This window comes from Homo sapiens, chromosome 1 (assembly GCF_000001405.40).
Source record: "Homo sapiens chromosome 1, GRCh38.p14 Primary Assembly".
Classification (NCBI taxonomy): Eukaryota; Metazoa; Chordata; class Mammalia; order Primates; family Hominidae; genus Homo; species Homo sapiens.
Window position 1 is genome coordinate 21,707,447 of NC_000001.11, and position 14,963 is coordinate 21,722,409.

Sequence of the window (14,963 nt, forward strand, 5' to 3'; positions counted from 1 at the left end):
AAACCATCTCCAGTCAAGCACCAACTTCTTTGCTATTTGCAATTTATTTTGAAGATCCCCTTCAATCTTCAAAAATCCCAGAAGATATAAAAAAATAATACTAGTCACCGCCACCCTGCCAGGACCTTTCTCCTCTGGCTCTACTTGTGGTTATACTTACTGTTGTTTCAGCTGTTCCCAAGCAGTAAGTTAGTGAACTTCACTTATCTACCCATATCGGTCATTACCCAGAAAACTATCTTTAAATTTCTAAAGTCATATGTTTGTTTCTGCACCCATTGGCAAGGTACCTACAGATTTATTAAGAGTAATAAAGCCATGAGCTTTCTAAATACATACTACACTTTCCATAATAAATGAATTTAGAAAGATGAATATAACCAGGCAGAGTACAGCTAGTGAGTAATAAAGCTGGGATACGAAACCAGGTCTATAGGCCAGGCACAGAGGCTTGCTCCTGTAATCCCCAGCACTTTCGGAGGCTGAAGCAGGTGGATCACTTGTCAGGAGTTTGAGACCAGCCTGGCCAACATGATGAAACCCTGCGTCTACTAAAAATACCAACATCAGCCAGGTATGGTGGTGCTTGCCTGTAGTCCCAGCTACTCCAGAGGCTGAGGCAAGAGGACTCCTTGAGCCTAGGAGGCAGAGGTGGCAGTGAGCCAAGATAACCACCATTGCACTCTGGCCTGGGCAACAGAGAGAGACGCCATCTCAAAAAAACAAAACAAAACAACACAAAACAAAACAAACAAAACAAAACTAGGTCTGAGGCTGGGCTTGGTGGTTCACACTTGTAAGCCCAGCACTTTGGGAGGCTGAGGGGAGCAGATCACGAGGTCAGGAGTTTGAAACCAGCCTGGCCAACATGGCGAAACCCCGTCTCTACTCAAAATACAAAAATTAGCCAGGTGTGTGGCAGGCACCTGTAATCTCAGCTACTCAGGAGGCTGAGGCAGAAGAATCGTTTGAATGCAAGAGGCAGAGGTTGCAGTGAGCCAAGATTGTGCCATTCCACTCCAGCCTGGGCGAGGAGCAAGACTCTGTCTCAAAAAACAAAAACAAACAAACAAACAAACAAACAAACCCAGGTCTATAGCTCATTCGAACCCCATAATATATTTTAAAATTTATTTATTTATTTAATAGAAAACAGGCCGGGGGCAGTGGCTCACGCCTGTAATCCCAGCACTTTAGGAGGCTGAGGTGAGTGGATCACAAGGTCAGGAGTTCAAGACCAGCTTGACCAAAATGGTGAAACCCTGTCTCTACTAAAAATACAAAACAAATTGGCCGGGAGTGGTGGTGTGCACCTGTAATTGCAGCTACATGGGAGGCTGAGGCAGGAGAATCGCTTGAACCCGGGAGGCAGAGGTTGCAGTGAGCCAAGATCGCACCATTGTAATCCAGCCTGGGTGACAGAGCAAGACTCCGTCTCAAAAAAAAAAAAAAAAAAGAAAGAAAAGAAAAGAAAAGAAAAGAAAACAGAGTCTCATTCTGTCCCCTGGGCTGGAGTACAGTGGCACGATCATAGCTCACTGCAGCCTCGACCTCCTGGGCTCAAGCGATCCTCCTGCCTTAGCCTCCTGAGTAGTCTGGCTAACAGGCATGAGCCACCATGCCCGCCTAATATTTTATTTTGTAGAGAGGGAGTCTCTCGAACTTCTGGTTTTAAGCAACCGTCCTACCTCAGCCTCCAGAAATGCTGGGATTATAAGCATGAGCCACTATGCCTGGTCCCTATAATTTATAATACCTCAGAATGCAACTTAACTTCTACCCCTCACCTCTTCTGGATCTTTGAATAATCCCCAAAAGATTATTTTGCTTTAACAGACTTGTTACCAGAGAAATGGGGTCAGAATGTAAACATGTATTTCCTTCTGGGTGGGCTGTTAATTTAAATTTCCCGTGAGTCTATGAAAACTTATTCTAACGTGCCCATCCTCAGACACAATTAGGGAATTTATTTTTAAAAATGAAAGAAAAAGGTTAATTGGATTATCAAACCTTAACTTAGTAAGTCCTTATGTGAAATACAACGTAACCATAAAAAAGATTAAGGTAGATTTCCATGACCTGATTTGGAAAGAACTCCACGGCAACTACAATATTTAAATGGTTTCCTTTTTATGCTTTAAAAAAAAAAAAAGAGAGCTTCTTTGTGTGTGGTATAACCCCATGTGGTTATGAGGAAACAATAATGGGAATGCACACACAAACTTTACTATTAAATGAGCAGAGGAGACCACAGACACTGTGGGTGCACGGCTTCATTCTGATGTGGGGGTACTTTTAGGTAGTGACTGGCTTTTAAGTGGGATGAGTGTTTTTCATATGACAAGGAAAGAACAACCCAAATTCATTTCTGAGATCAGAATAATATTAAATAGTCATTTTACTGTAGTCTAGTTGGTAATAAAAATATATAGTCCTTCACTCTACTTGTTAGCTGAGTTTCTAAATATAATTTCCTATTATTCTAATAATTACTACCATAGTAGTTGTTAATATATCATTAATATTAACTATGAATATTAATACAATTAATTAAATTAATGTAATGAATGATAATGAAGTAAATATACTTGAATATTGTCTATGACCTCAAAATAGTTAAATAAATTTGGGTTGCTCTTTTCACTGGGACACATAAATTGTTAGAAATTAAACTTGTATCCTGCAATGAAACATGTTATTTCTTAAATTTTAAGAGAAAGCCAATCAACTAAATCCATTCTATGAGCAATACCTCCCAAAACAAGATCAAAGCAGTCAAGAGAGATTCAATTCAGTAAACATAACTAGAATATCTAAAACTCAAAGATTCTTTGGTAAAAAGAGAAATCTAGTTAACAATGAATTTAGATACTGGATAAATGACCCTCAACCCCTCACCCTCAATCTAGTTCAAACTGTATATAATACTTTGGGCCTCAGGACATCTCAAGAAGTACTTTCAAAATAACAAAACAAAACACAGCCCATCGTCTAAGCAAACTAGGTGTAATAAACAAGGTAAGCTATAGGAAGGTTATTCACTTAAAGGAATAAAAAGTAAAATGGGTAAGAAAGCTTGATATATATAATATCTGTATTATAAAGCTTGTTATATAATATCTGCAACAAATACTGAACTCTAGGATAGTAAATCTTCCAATGGAATATAATCCAATGACTAATTCACACAAAACCTGTGATACATTAAATACATACAACACGTTAGAAATATATAGGGGTTTTGTTATAAAAATATGAAAATTTAAATCAAGGACTTTCCAGGTTAAAATGATGTTTAAAACTGCATTTACTTTAAGTGCCTCATGAAACATCATCAAATCACAATAAAGAATTAAAAAAAAAAAAACTTTTATTTTTAGAGACAGGATCTCACTCTGTCACCCAGGCTGGAGTGCAGTGGCGTGATCATAGCTCACTGTAACCACAATCTCCTGGGCTCAAGCAATGCTCCTGCCTCAGTTTCCTGGGCATCTAGGACTACAGCCGTGTGCCACTTTGCCTAATTTTTATTTTATTTTTTAAATAGAGGTGGGGTCTCACTATGTTGCCCAGGCTGCTCTCAAATGCCTCAGCCTCTTGAAGTGCTGAGGTTATAGATGTGAACCACCACACCAAAGGAATTATTTATATATATATATAAAAGACATACAGTTATAATGATGAAGACAACAGAGGCAACAACAGGGATAAAAATTATAAGGGTTTAAAAGAAGGTTAATGAGACACAATAAAAATTAACTCTAAGTTGGCGAAAGTCAAGAAGTAGCCAGATTTGCTACACTGCAGTACTGTCCCACAGACCCAAAAACTGGGTCCTCATGAAGTAAAGGTAGGGATTTACAAAAAATGAGAGAAGGGATGGAAAGTCTATTTAAGAAGTATGTAGTTAGATGCTCAGTCCCCTTCTCTGCCCTTGAGATCACTGCCCCCTCTAGCCACAAAAGACTAGATGCTTATTCTAGGACAACAAAACCTAAGGCCCCTGAACAGGGGACACAAAACACAGAGACAAATGAAGTGACAAGCTGAGACAGGGATAATTAAACCTTTCCACTCTTCAATGCAGGGACTCCTAAGTCCTCTTCTTTCTACAGCTTCCGAAGAGCGACAGCAGGTCTGAATTTTCCAGGCAGGCAAATAAAAGATACTTACGGAAAAACCTTAGTGGCCCAATAGCAGACAGTGCCATTGGGAATTTCCCAGTGAAACAAGCCAGCTGGGGCTCCGAACTAGTGAAGCTCAGTCACCAAGCCCCTCCAAAACACACCTGGCTTCCACAGAGTGCCTAGCATAATAAATGAACCCGTACAACATTGGGGACAAAGATCTTACAAGCCTACCAGAAACTGAAGTGGAGAAAAATTACCAAGAAACAATGGCTTTGGACTTCTGAATGGTACGTCCAGAGCACTACCACAAAAGTCTCTTAAATTTTCACGGAAAAAATATTTCCAACAGACAACTAAATACCTAGGCAAAATTATCCATTCAGTATGGTGATCCTAGACAGGTGACTCTTGCCTCTCTGTGCCTCAGTTTACTTACTCATCAGTAGAATGGATGTGATAATATACTGATAGCACAGAGTTGTTATAAGATTAAATGAGTTGGATGGGCATGATGGCTGACGCCTGTAATCCCAGCACTTTGGGAGGCCAAGACAGGCAGATCAACTGAGGTCAGGAGTTCGAGACCAGTCTGGCCAACATGGCAAAACCCCATATCTACTAAAAATACAAAAATTAACTGGGAGTGGTGGCACATGCCTATAGTTCCAGATACTTGGGAAGCTGAGGCAGGAGAATCACTTAAACCCAGAAGGTGGAGGTTGTAGTGAGCCGAGACTGCACCATTGCGCTCCAGCCTGGGCGACACAGTGAGACGCCATCTCAAAAAAAACCAAAACAAAATAGATAAAATGAGTTAATATTTATAAATGTGGAAAACTACAGGCAAATGGTAAACATTCAATAATTGCCCACTATAATCCTCCTCTTACCAACATCATCAGCACACCTCCAGAAAGTGGTTTTAACAGAAACTTAATGAGTAAAGTGGATTTCTAAGTAAGGCTGGGTATCCTATACCAGAAACATTTTACCCTGGACGCATGGTATGCTGGCAGATAACGTAACACAAAAACAAAGGTAGAAAACTATCCTTTTTTTTTTTTTTTTTTGAGACAGGGTCTTGCTCTGTTGCCTAGGCTAGAATGCAGGGGTGCCATCTTGGCTCACTGCAACCTCCGCCTCCTGGGTTCAAGCAATTCTCCTGGGTCAGCCTCCCGAGTAGGTGGGATTACAGGCGTCCACCATGACATCCAGCTAATTTTTGTATTTTTGTAGAGATGGGGTTTCACCATGTTGGCCAGGCTGGTCTCAAACTCCTGACCTCAACTGATCCGCCTGCCTCAGCCTCCCAAAGTGCTGGGATTACAGGCGTGAGCCACCACACCCAGTCATACTATCCTTTAAAATATTAGAGAACAAAGTATGGCATCAAAACACTAGAGTTACAGATCAAGACAACAGCCTAAAAAAATAACCCTTGTATACAATTTCTTCCTCTCTCCCTCACTCCCTTTCTCATTCCCTCCCTCCCTCCCTTTCTTTCTTTCTCTTTCTCACTCTCTCTTTCTTTTTTGTTTTGTTTTGAGACAAGGTCTTGCTTGGTCGCCCAGGCTGGAGTACAGTGGCACGTGAATATGGCTCACTGCAGCCTCGACCTCCTGGGCTCAGGTAACCCTCTCAATGTAGCCTTTCATGTAGCTGGGAAAACTGATGCATACGATCACCACCCCTGGCTAATTTCTTGATCTTTCTGTAGAGATGGGGTCTTGCCATGATGCCAAGGCTAGTCTCAAACTCTTGGACTCAAGTGATCCTCCCACCTTGGCTTCCCAAAGTGCTGGGATTACAGGTGTGAAGCCACTGTGCCCGGCCTCTTATGTACAATTTCTGATAGGCTGGGGAGTGGAGTATGTGTCCTGAAGCAACATTCGGCTTTGCCATGCTTTGTATTCAAAACTGTCAGTACTGAAATGACATGATAAGAGGTGGGAAGGCAGAGCAAAGGTCAGTGAGCTAAGGAGCACGAGGGCAATCTAAGTTCCAGCACTGTTTCAAGTGGTAGCACCAAGCATGACACAGTATTTTGCCACAGATGCTTCAACTCTCAATATGGAGGCACCAATCCTATGTCCACATCTATGCTGTGAAGGTTAGAAAAGGTGATATGAGAGTATCACTGGAAAAATACACTCCTTTTGGCTATTCACCCAAACTTCCTTCCCCTGTTTATTTCCTCGTGCTATTCAGCACTCACGAGGTCAACTCATCTTCTCCTGCTGTGCACCTGTAGTGTAAAAGACCAACCAGTAGACAGATAGGGTGATACGATGGAAAGAACAGAGGAACTTGGGACTCACAGAGACCAAGACCCAAACACACACCCCAGGATGGCCCCTTCCTAGTTGTGTGGCCTGTAAATGGGAATGCCACTCACTTCGCAAGCTAAAGTGCAGTGAGATAATCCAGAATGCTAGTACTACTCTAGTGGCAACCACCATCACTAGTATCATCAAGGGCACTTCATATAAAAGTGCCAATGTGCATCAGGGATAAGAATGAGACATCATCCACTGGTTCACAGTGAACTGATGAAACAAGAACTACAGTTAGGAATTCATTAGGATCAACAGGAGTCCTAAATATTAGCAATAAATTACCACATAACAAGAAACACATGAACATGGGTTAACAAAATGAACCACTGACAAGCCAACTTTTCTGTGTCAAATTTATTGTCCTATTGATTTTATTTTAAAGAGATGGGGTATCGCACGGTCGTCCAGGCTGGAGTGCAGCGTCGTGATCATAGCTCACTCTAGCCTCAAACTCCTGGGTCAAGTGATCCTCTCACCCTCCTGAGAAACTGAAACTGCAGGCACATACCACCAAACCCACTTAATATTTTTTTAGAGACAGGGTCTTGCTGTGTTGCCCAGACTGGTCTCAAAATCATGGGCTCAAGCGATCCTCCTACCTGAGCCTTCCTAGTAGCTGGGATTATAGGTGCAAGCTACAGCACTCAGTGCTCAGACTCTTTGGAGGTGGGAAGGGGAACTTATGAAGTAGAAAGCTTTGAGAAACAGACACCTGCTTGACTTTCACGGTGCTATTAGAATAGAAAATTATGCCTAATATATGATGAATCCCTTGCACGATCATCTTGTAAAAGCTACTTGTTAGAAGTAAGCATTCACCAAGACCAAGTAAAGAAATACATGAACCAATACATAGGATTAAATAAGGATTTAGAATTTAGCTTTTTAAAAAATTATCTAGCACATAGTACACAGCAGCTGGTCAATACACAAACAAGAAACTAAACCAAGCCGAGCCCAGTGGCTCGTGCCTATAATCCCACCACTATGGAAGGCCAAGGTGGGAGGCAAATTTAAAAATTAGCTGGGTGTGATGGCGCATGCCTATGGTCCCAGCTACTCAGGAGGCCAAGGCAGGAGGAACACTTGAGCCCAGGATGTTGATGCTGCACTAAGCTAGGACAGTGACAGTCAGAGATCTTGTTGCACAGATAAAAAAATAAATAAAAAACCATAGATAGCCCTAACAAGATGAAGAAGAAGAAACATACGAGCACTATTCTCAAAGTGTTTAACTTGGACAATGACAGTCATGGGAAACAACTGAAATTCAATACTTCAAATTCAAAAGCACTTCAATGGAACAAGTGACAAGAAGTTTCTTTTCCAATGATTTCCTCTAAATATGGGGAAATTCTATTAAAAAAAATTTTTCCCAGGTAAGATGTGAGAGATACTGGCATGAAAGCCAGGCAGTAGAAGCTAAAAGTAAAAAAAAGGACAATAAAACAGAATTCATTTATGCTTCTAGCTTACCATGTGGACACAGAATATCTTCATTAAAATTTAATTCCTCCTCTTCTTTTCTTTCTTCCTTTGATTCATCTAATCAAAAGAAATACAAATGATATCTGCTGTGGTTATTGTGTACTTAAAGTTGAAAGTAGCAGATATACTACTCTGCACAATTTGGAACAAAGAAAACTTTAAAACTCTGAAAATTAGACCCATGTGATTCCTACACAGTTCTGCTAAAAAGTGTTATATTTCTTTCCCTTAAAAGGAAAGAGGAACATCTCAATGACAGTTAACTTTTAAAGATTTAGGTTATGCAAGAAAATGTGCTTTTTTAAATTCAAAAAATGGAATTCTTCTATTAATTCTAGTCAAAGTATCGAGAATACTGTGTCATAAACCAAGTTAATCATCTACATGTCATGTCATGGCATGTCATTTTCACCTACCTACACTTTTTGGGGGTGAACACAAAGCATTAAAGGCAAATTAAATAAGGACTTAACCTTTATCATCAAACAGAGTACTCCCCGCTGATCAGTCAGGGCATATGTTCTAAGACCCTCAATGGATGCCTAAAACCTACCACCGAACTCAATAAACATCCATTGGCACATTTCTGTTCATGTCTTCCACCCACAAGTTTAATGCCTTTTCCATCTTAACTCACACTGTGGCCATAACTTACAGTTTGTAGTGTGACAGCAAAACTAGCATGAATTTTTTTCCTTCTTAATCTCACAGACAGATTTGTTCCTATAGATCTTAGTAACCTCAGCATATGATTTTTTTTCTTTCCTTATTTAAATCAAGAACTTACTTCCACCGTTCCACTTAAAGGAAGCACTTTGTGGCTTCTTTTTGACATACCTGAATTGCCAACATTACCACTCTTCCACTTTGAGATCATTATTAAGTAAAATAAGGGTAACTTGAACACAGGCACTCCTACAGTCAATCTGAGCACCAAGAGGGTTGCTAGGTGACCAGTCAGTAGCATGTATAGCACAGATAAGCTGGACACAGGGAAAACTCATGTCGCAGGCAGGATGAAGCAGGAGGGTATGAGATACAATATCATCATGCTACTCAGAACAGTGTGAAATTTAAAACTTATGAATTGTTTACTTCTGGAAGTTTCCATGTAATATTTTCAGACTGCAGTTCACTGCAGGTTAACTGAAATCATGAAAAGCAAAACCTTGCATAAGGGTGGACCACTATATAATAAAAACTTTGCTTTTGCTGTTAACATTTCTCTTCCAGTATCTGCTTTTCTTACTTTTTTACACTGTGTCACTATCAATTTATAGTTGTATATACTGGGAACAGGATCAAATGAAGAATCCTTAAGTATGATTAAAATCATTATCCATGGGGGCCAGGCGTGGTGGCTCACGCCTGTAATACCAGCACTTTGGGAGGCTGAGGCGGGTGGATCACGAGATCAGGAGATCGAGACCATCCTGGCTAACACAGTGAAACCTCGTCTCTACTAAAAATACAAAAAATTAGCCAGGCATGGTGGCGGGCCCCTGTAGTCCCAGCTACTCAGGAGGCTGAGGCAGGAGAATGGCGGGAACCCGGGAGGCAGAGCTTATGGTGAGCCCAGATGGCGCCACTGCACGACAGAGCGAGACTCCGTCTCAAAAAAAAAATAATTATCCATGGGTTTTCCAGGTTAAGAACTTCACACATTTTTACTACAATTAATACAAAAAATATCTACTAATCATTCAAAAACTGAAGTAGAGGCCAGGCACAGTGGCTCACGCTTGTAATCCCAGCACTTTGAGAAGACAAAGGCAGGCAGATCACATGAGCCCAGGAGTTCAAGACCAGCCTGAGCAACATGGCGAAACCCCATCTCTACAAAAAGTACAAAAATTATCTGGGCGTGGTGGCACGCACCTGGGGTCCCAGCTACTCAGGAGGCTGAGGTGAGAGGACTGTTTGAGCCCATGAGGTGGAGGCTGCATTGAGTTGCAATTGCGTCACTGCTCTCCAGCCAGGGTGAAAGAGAGAGATCCTGTCTAAAAAAACAAAACAAAACAAACAAAAACAAAACAAATAAAAAAAAACCCAACCAACCAAACAAACAAAAAAACCCCACAAAAATCAAGTAAAAAAATGGGCAAAGGAAGGATACAACCAGATAATTCTGTCTCCTCTTTTTCTCTCTGTCACACACACAAATAACTTCTCAAGCCTAAGAAGATGGTCAACCTCAATGACATTTTGAAAAACATTAAGCCTCAACACTGCTAAGTCTAACTTCCTATATCAGGCTGATAAAAACTGATGTGACTGCCGGGCACGGTGGCTCATGCCTGTAATCCCAGCACTTTGGAGGGCTGAGGTGGGCAGATTAAGGTCTGGAGTTCAAGATCAGCCTGGTCAACATGGCAAAAACCTCTCTCTGCTAAAAATACAAAAATTAGCCCACTGTGCTGGTGCATGCCTGTAATCCCAGCTACTCCGGAGGCTGAGCCCAGGAGGTGGAGGTTGGAGTGAGCCGAGATCACACCACTGCACTCCAGACTGGGCAACAGAGGGAGACTCCGTCTCAAAAACAAAACAAAACAAAACAAAACTGATGTGACGGATGTATTCTTTATGTTGACAAAAGCATGCAAAAATGAAGCCCCTAATATGCATATATTGAAGAAAATTTACCAATATGTGTCAGTATGTGGCAATTGTAAGTATTTATAATTCTCTGATCCAGCAATTTCTAGGAACTTATTTCTCAGAAATAATCGGAAAATTCTGTAATGATGTAAGTACAGGACACAAAAGGACCCTCACTGCATCTGTGTGTACATAGTCATGTAAAAAATTAAAATAGAATCAGATAAACATAATGGATCCACAAAACAAAATGCAATTAATCAATAAAAAGGGCTGTATGTTTTGACAGGGAGAGATGTACAACTGTGCCCATATGAGCTGTATTATAAAAAGCCACTATTTACAGTGATTGTATCTGGTGGGAAGGCTTTGAAGTTCTACTTTGTCACATTTGTGCTGCTTGAAGCTTTTGAAATGTTTTAATGGGGGAAGGAGAATAGAGACATATTACTCTGAAAGCAACATGAAAAATACTTTTAAGCTATGCCAACATGAAGGCACTTTCTATTATGGCATCCAATTTTACTAAAAATGAAGGGACACTGATATATAAAGAGGCCTTTTTCTTTTTTTTTTTTGAGACGGTGTCGTGCTCTGTCGCCCAGGCTGGAATGCAGTGGTGCCATCTCAGCTCACTGCAACCTCCTCCTCCCGGATTCAAATGATCTCCTGCCTCAGCCTCCTGAGTAGCTGGGATTACAGGTGCATGCCACCACGCCTGGATAATTTTTGTATTTTTAGTAGAGAAGGGGTTTCACCATGTTGGTCAGGCTGATCTCGAACTTGTGACCTTGTGATCTGCCCACCTCGGCCTCCCAAATTAAAGAGGTTTTAAAAAGCAGTAAATAAATATTTAACACTAAGTCACATGTTATCATTAAAATTATAGTACGGTTTTTCAAATGACAGGATACTAGAACTCAAATTGATGTTAAGTTCATGAATTATATAGCACAATAAAACATTTTAATCAAAAGTAAAAACTCAGCTGGGTGCAGTAGCTCACACCTGTAATCCTAGCACTTTGGGAGGCCAAGGTGGGCAGATCACTTGAGCTCAGGAGTTCAAGACCAGCTGGCCAACATGGTGAAACCCCATCTCCACTAAAATACAAAAATTAGCCGGGCATGGTGGCACATGTGTAATCCCAGCTACTTGGGAGGCTGAGGCAGGAAAATCACTTGAACTGGGCGGAGGGACGGGGGGCGGGGGGGCAGAGGTTGCAGTGAGCCAAGATCATGCCACTGCACTCCAGCCTGGGGGACAGAGTGATATTCCATCTCAAAAAAGTAAAAAAAAAAAAAGTCTCAAAAAAGAAAATAAAAGTAAAAACTCTTCAAGTTTGAAAATGTTAATCACAGCTCAAAGAGTTTAAAACTAATACTGGGTTGGTTTTCCCAAAAAGTAAGGTAGTGAGATAGGAAGATCAATACCAAATAAAATAAATATAATATAAAGTGACAGAAATGGGCGAGGCTCAGTGGCTCACACCTATAATCCCAGCACTTTGGGAAGCCAAGGTGGGAGGATCGCTTGAGCACAGGAGTTGGGAGACTAGCCTGGGCAACATAGTGAGGCCTTATCTCTAGAATTTAAAAGAAATAAAAACTGGTCAGGCACGGTGGCTCACGCCTGTAATCCCAACACTTTTGGGAGGTCAGGAGTTCAAGACTAGCCTGGCCAACATGGTGAAACCCTGTCTCTTCTAAACATACAAAATTAGCTGGGCGTGGTGGTGTGCACCTGTAATCCCAGCTACTCGGGAGGCTGAGGCAGGAGAGCCGCTTGAACCCAGGAGGCAGAGGTTGCAGTGAGGCGGAGATTGCAGGGAGCCGAGACTGCGTCACTGCACTCCAGCCTGAGCAAAAAGAGCAAAACTCCATCTCAAATAAATAAATAAATAAAATAAAAACTTAAAAAATAAAAAATAATGATACAAATGATATGAAATGCTTGAATGCAGAAAATACAGAATATTTCAATAAAGGTCAAGAACATTAAAGTAATAAATTTCCTTGACATCTTATGAACCACTGATTATAGAATTAAATTTAGTGTTTGCTTTAAAACAACATAATTTCTGATTTGAAAGCATAGGAAACTCAGAGGAATTTACAAGGAAAAAGCTATTTAAAAGCTGCCCTCTCTATTTGATGAAAGATAAAGAAGTACAAGCTCATTTACTTGACAAAGGCAGTGTGGCAGATAATCCAAAACCAAAATGTACTGAGCATACAATATATTATGCCAATTTGCAGTAGACTTAACCTTTCTTGAAACTCTTAGCCTAGAACAGAATTAATATTAATTTTGCATGTGATTAACTAGAGAGAGCTTGAGCCCGAAGCATGATAGGTTATAAAGGAAAATTTCACATGTGAGTTGCTGAGTCCTTGCTGAATTTCAATAGCTTAAAAATCTTTTATTTGCTCTGAGCTACTTGTGAGAGCTTGTAGTTTAATAAAAGTTGTCTTTAAAATTACATGGATGGGTATGAAACCAATTTTGCTCATTTTTTGGGTTTTTCTTTTTCTTTTTTTTTTTTAAGAGACAGAGTCTCGCTCTGCCGCCCAAGCTGCAGTGTAGTGGCGCAATCTTGGGTCATGGTAACCTACAACTCCTGGGTTCAATCGATTCTACTGCCTCAGCCTCCCGAGTAGCTGGGACCACAGGTGTGCAACACCACTCCTGGCTAATTATTTTTGTATTTTTAGTAGAGACGGGGTTTCACCATGTTGCTCAGGCTGGTCTTGAACACCTGACCTCAAGTGATCAACCTGCCTCGGCCTCCTAAAGTGCTGGGATTATAGGCATGAACCACCGCACCCAGACTAAAATTGTTTTTTAGGGAAACAGGGTCTCACTCTGTTACCCAGACTGGAGTGCAGTGGGGCTGGCACAACCGCTGGGCTCAAGTGATCTGCCCGTCTGAGCCTCCCAAGTAGCTGGGACTACACGAATGAGCCACCGTGCCTGGCCCACTTATATTTTCATGGTATAGTTTCACAATGATCTACACATAGGTTTAAAGTGTTACCTTTATTTAAGGTGCTACCGTTCATCTTTCCGTTGCTTTGTTCTGCATCACCATCTTGCTCATCCAGCTGTTCAAGAGCTAGCTGGCGCCAACTCCGCAAGGAGGACTTCCCCACCCAAAATCCATCGCTGCTGTGGAACAGAGAGAATGTTAAATCATATAAGTAATATTTCCAAACACTGTCCTCCCTTCTTTGCCTGTAAAAACAACTAAAGTGAATTACAAACACTCAACATCAGCTACTGTACATGTAATTGATTTTAACCCACTTCCTAATTTCGGTCATTTTCTCTGTTCACTATTGAACTGCAGGGATCTAATATTTTGTTTCCATTCTAAATATTATCCTGCTTTTCCTACCTTCAAGCCAATCACACCAATCAAATGGTAGGATGGAATACAGTGGCAAAGGCTATCTGACTCAGCAGTTTTCTTTATCGTTGCCACAGGGGCAGTCATTGCAAAATTTACTTTTGATCTGGCTCTACCATCCACTTTATCACCCTTCTTCTAAAAATCCCAACTTCCTATTTTTAATAAATAACGAGATGCTTGGTTATGACCTCTTGAAAACTTCTTAGTTTATCATTAACAATGTACACTGTGCAACATACCCCTTTACTGCTGCTTTCAGCAGATTATTAACAGTTTTATAATCTTCATTTAGTTGGTTCTTCAGACGCAATATGCGACAACGTTCTACTACACATTCCTTACACAGGGCTTTCACTACAGGCAAGAAAGAATGAAAGGAAATATATTTCATTCAAACAGACTTCCTGTTAGGAAAATGTTTTCAGCACTTCACAAACACAGACACATTCTAAACCAAAGTCACAAATGTTGGCAATATGGCAAATTGGTATATACCCTAAATTATTTTACTAAGACAATTAGAAACCAAGACGGCAATACTGTTATCTGAATAAAGAACAATGAGAGACAAAATGTTGTATTACATTAAAAGTATCTAAATACAGTATCTGACAAGGTTTACATGCAATCTTTACAAGATGATAATCAAATCACTGAGGTTCTAAGGTGGGGGGGTTAAATATAGCTGATAATTATAAATAATGATCTTCATGTGAAAGTGATCTTCAAAGCACACTAAAAGGAAAAGCAAAATGAAGGGCCTGGTTTAAAACACAAAGAAGTTTTAGGAATCATCTAAAATGTGAACGCTCTTCCTATTGCATGGTTTATTCATTGTGAATTAAGAACAGTGGCAGGTATAGTGGCTCATACCACCAAGAGCTTTGGGAAGCCAAGCAGGGAGGGTAGCTTGAGGACAGGAGTTTGAGACCAGCCTGGGCAACATAGTGAGACCCTGTCTCTACAAAAAGTGTAAAAATTAGCAAGCCATGGTGATGT

General features: G+C 40.7%; 1 protein-coding gene across 17 annotated transcripts in view; it reads right to left on the reverse strand.

The window, feature by feature from the left end:
* The window catches only part of USP48 (ubiquitin specific peptidase 48), a 104,852-nt gene that overhangs the window by 29,149 nt on the left and 60,740 nt on the right, over positions 1–14,963 (reverse strand). For 11 of the 17 annotated variants that reach the window (NM_001350164.2, XM_047432026.1, NM_001350167.2 and 8 more), the window contains 3 exons: positions 14,204–14,318; positions 13,590–13,720; positions 7,943–8,011 (listed from right to left, as the gene is read on the reverse strand). In NM_001350164.2, the coding sequence (NP_001337093.1) occupies positions 7,943–8,011; positions 13,590–13,720; positions 14,204–14,318 (315 nt within the window). The remainder of the gene's footprint in view (positions 1–7,942; positions 8,012–13,589; positions 13,721–14,203; positions 14,319–14,963) is intronic. The other 6 variants (XM_047432030.1, NM_001350166.2, XM_047432029.1 and 3 more) reach the window with 1 other exon arrangement.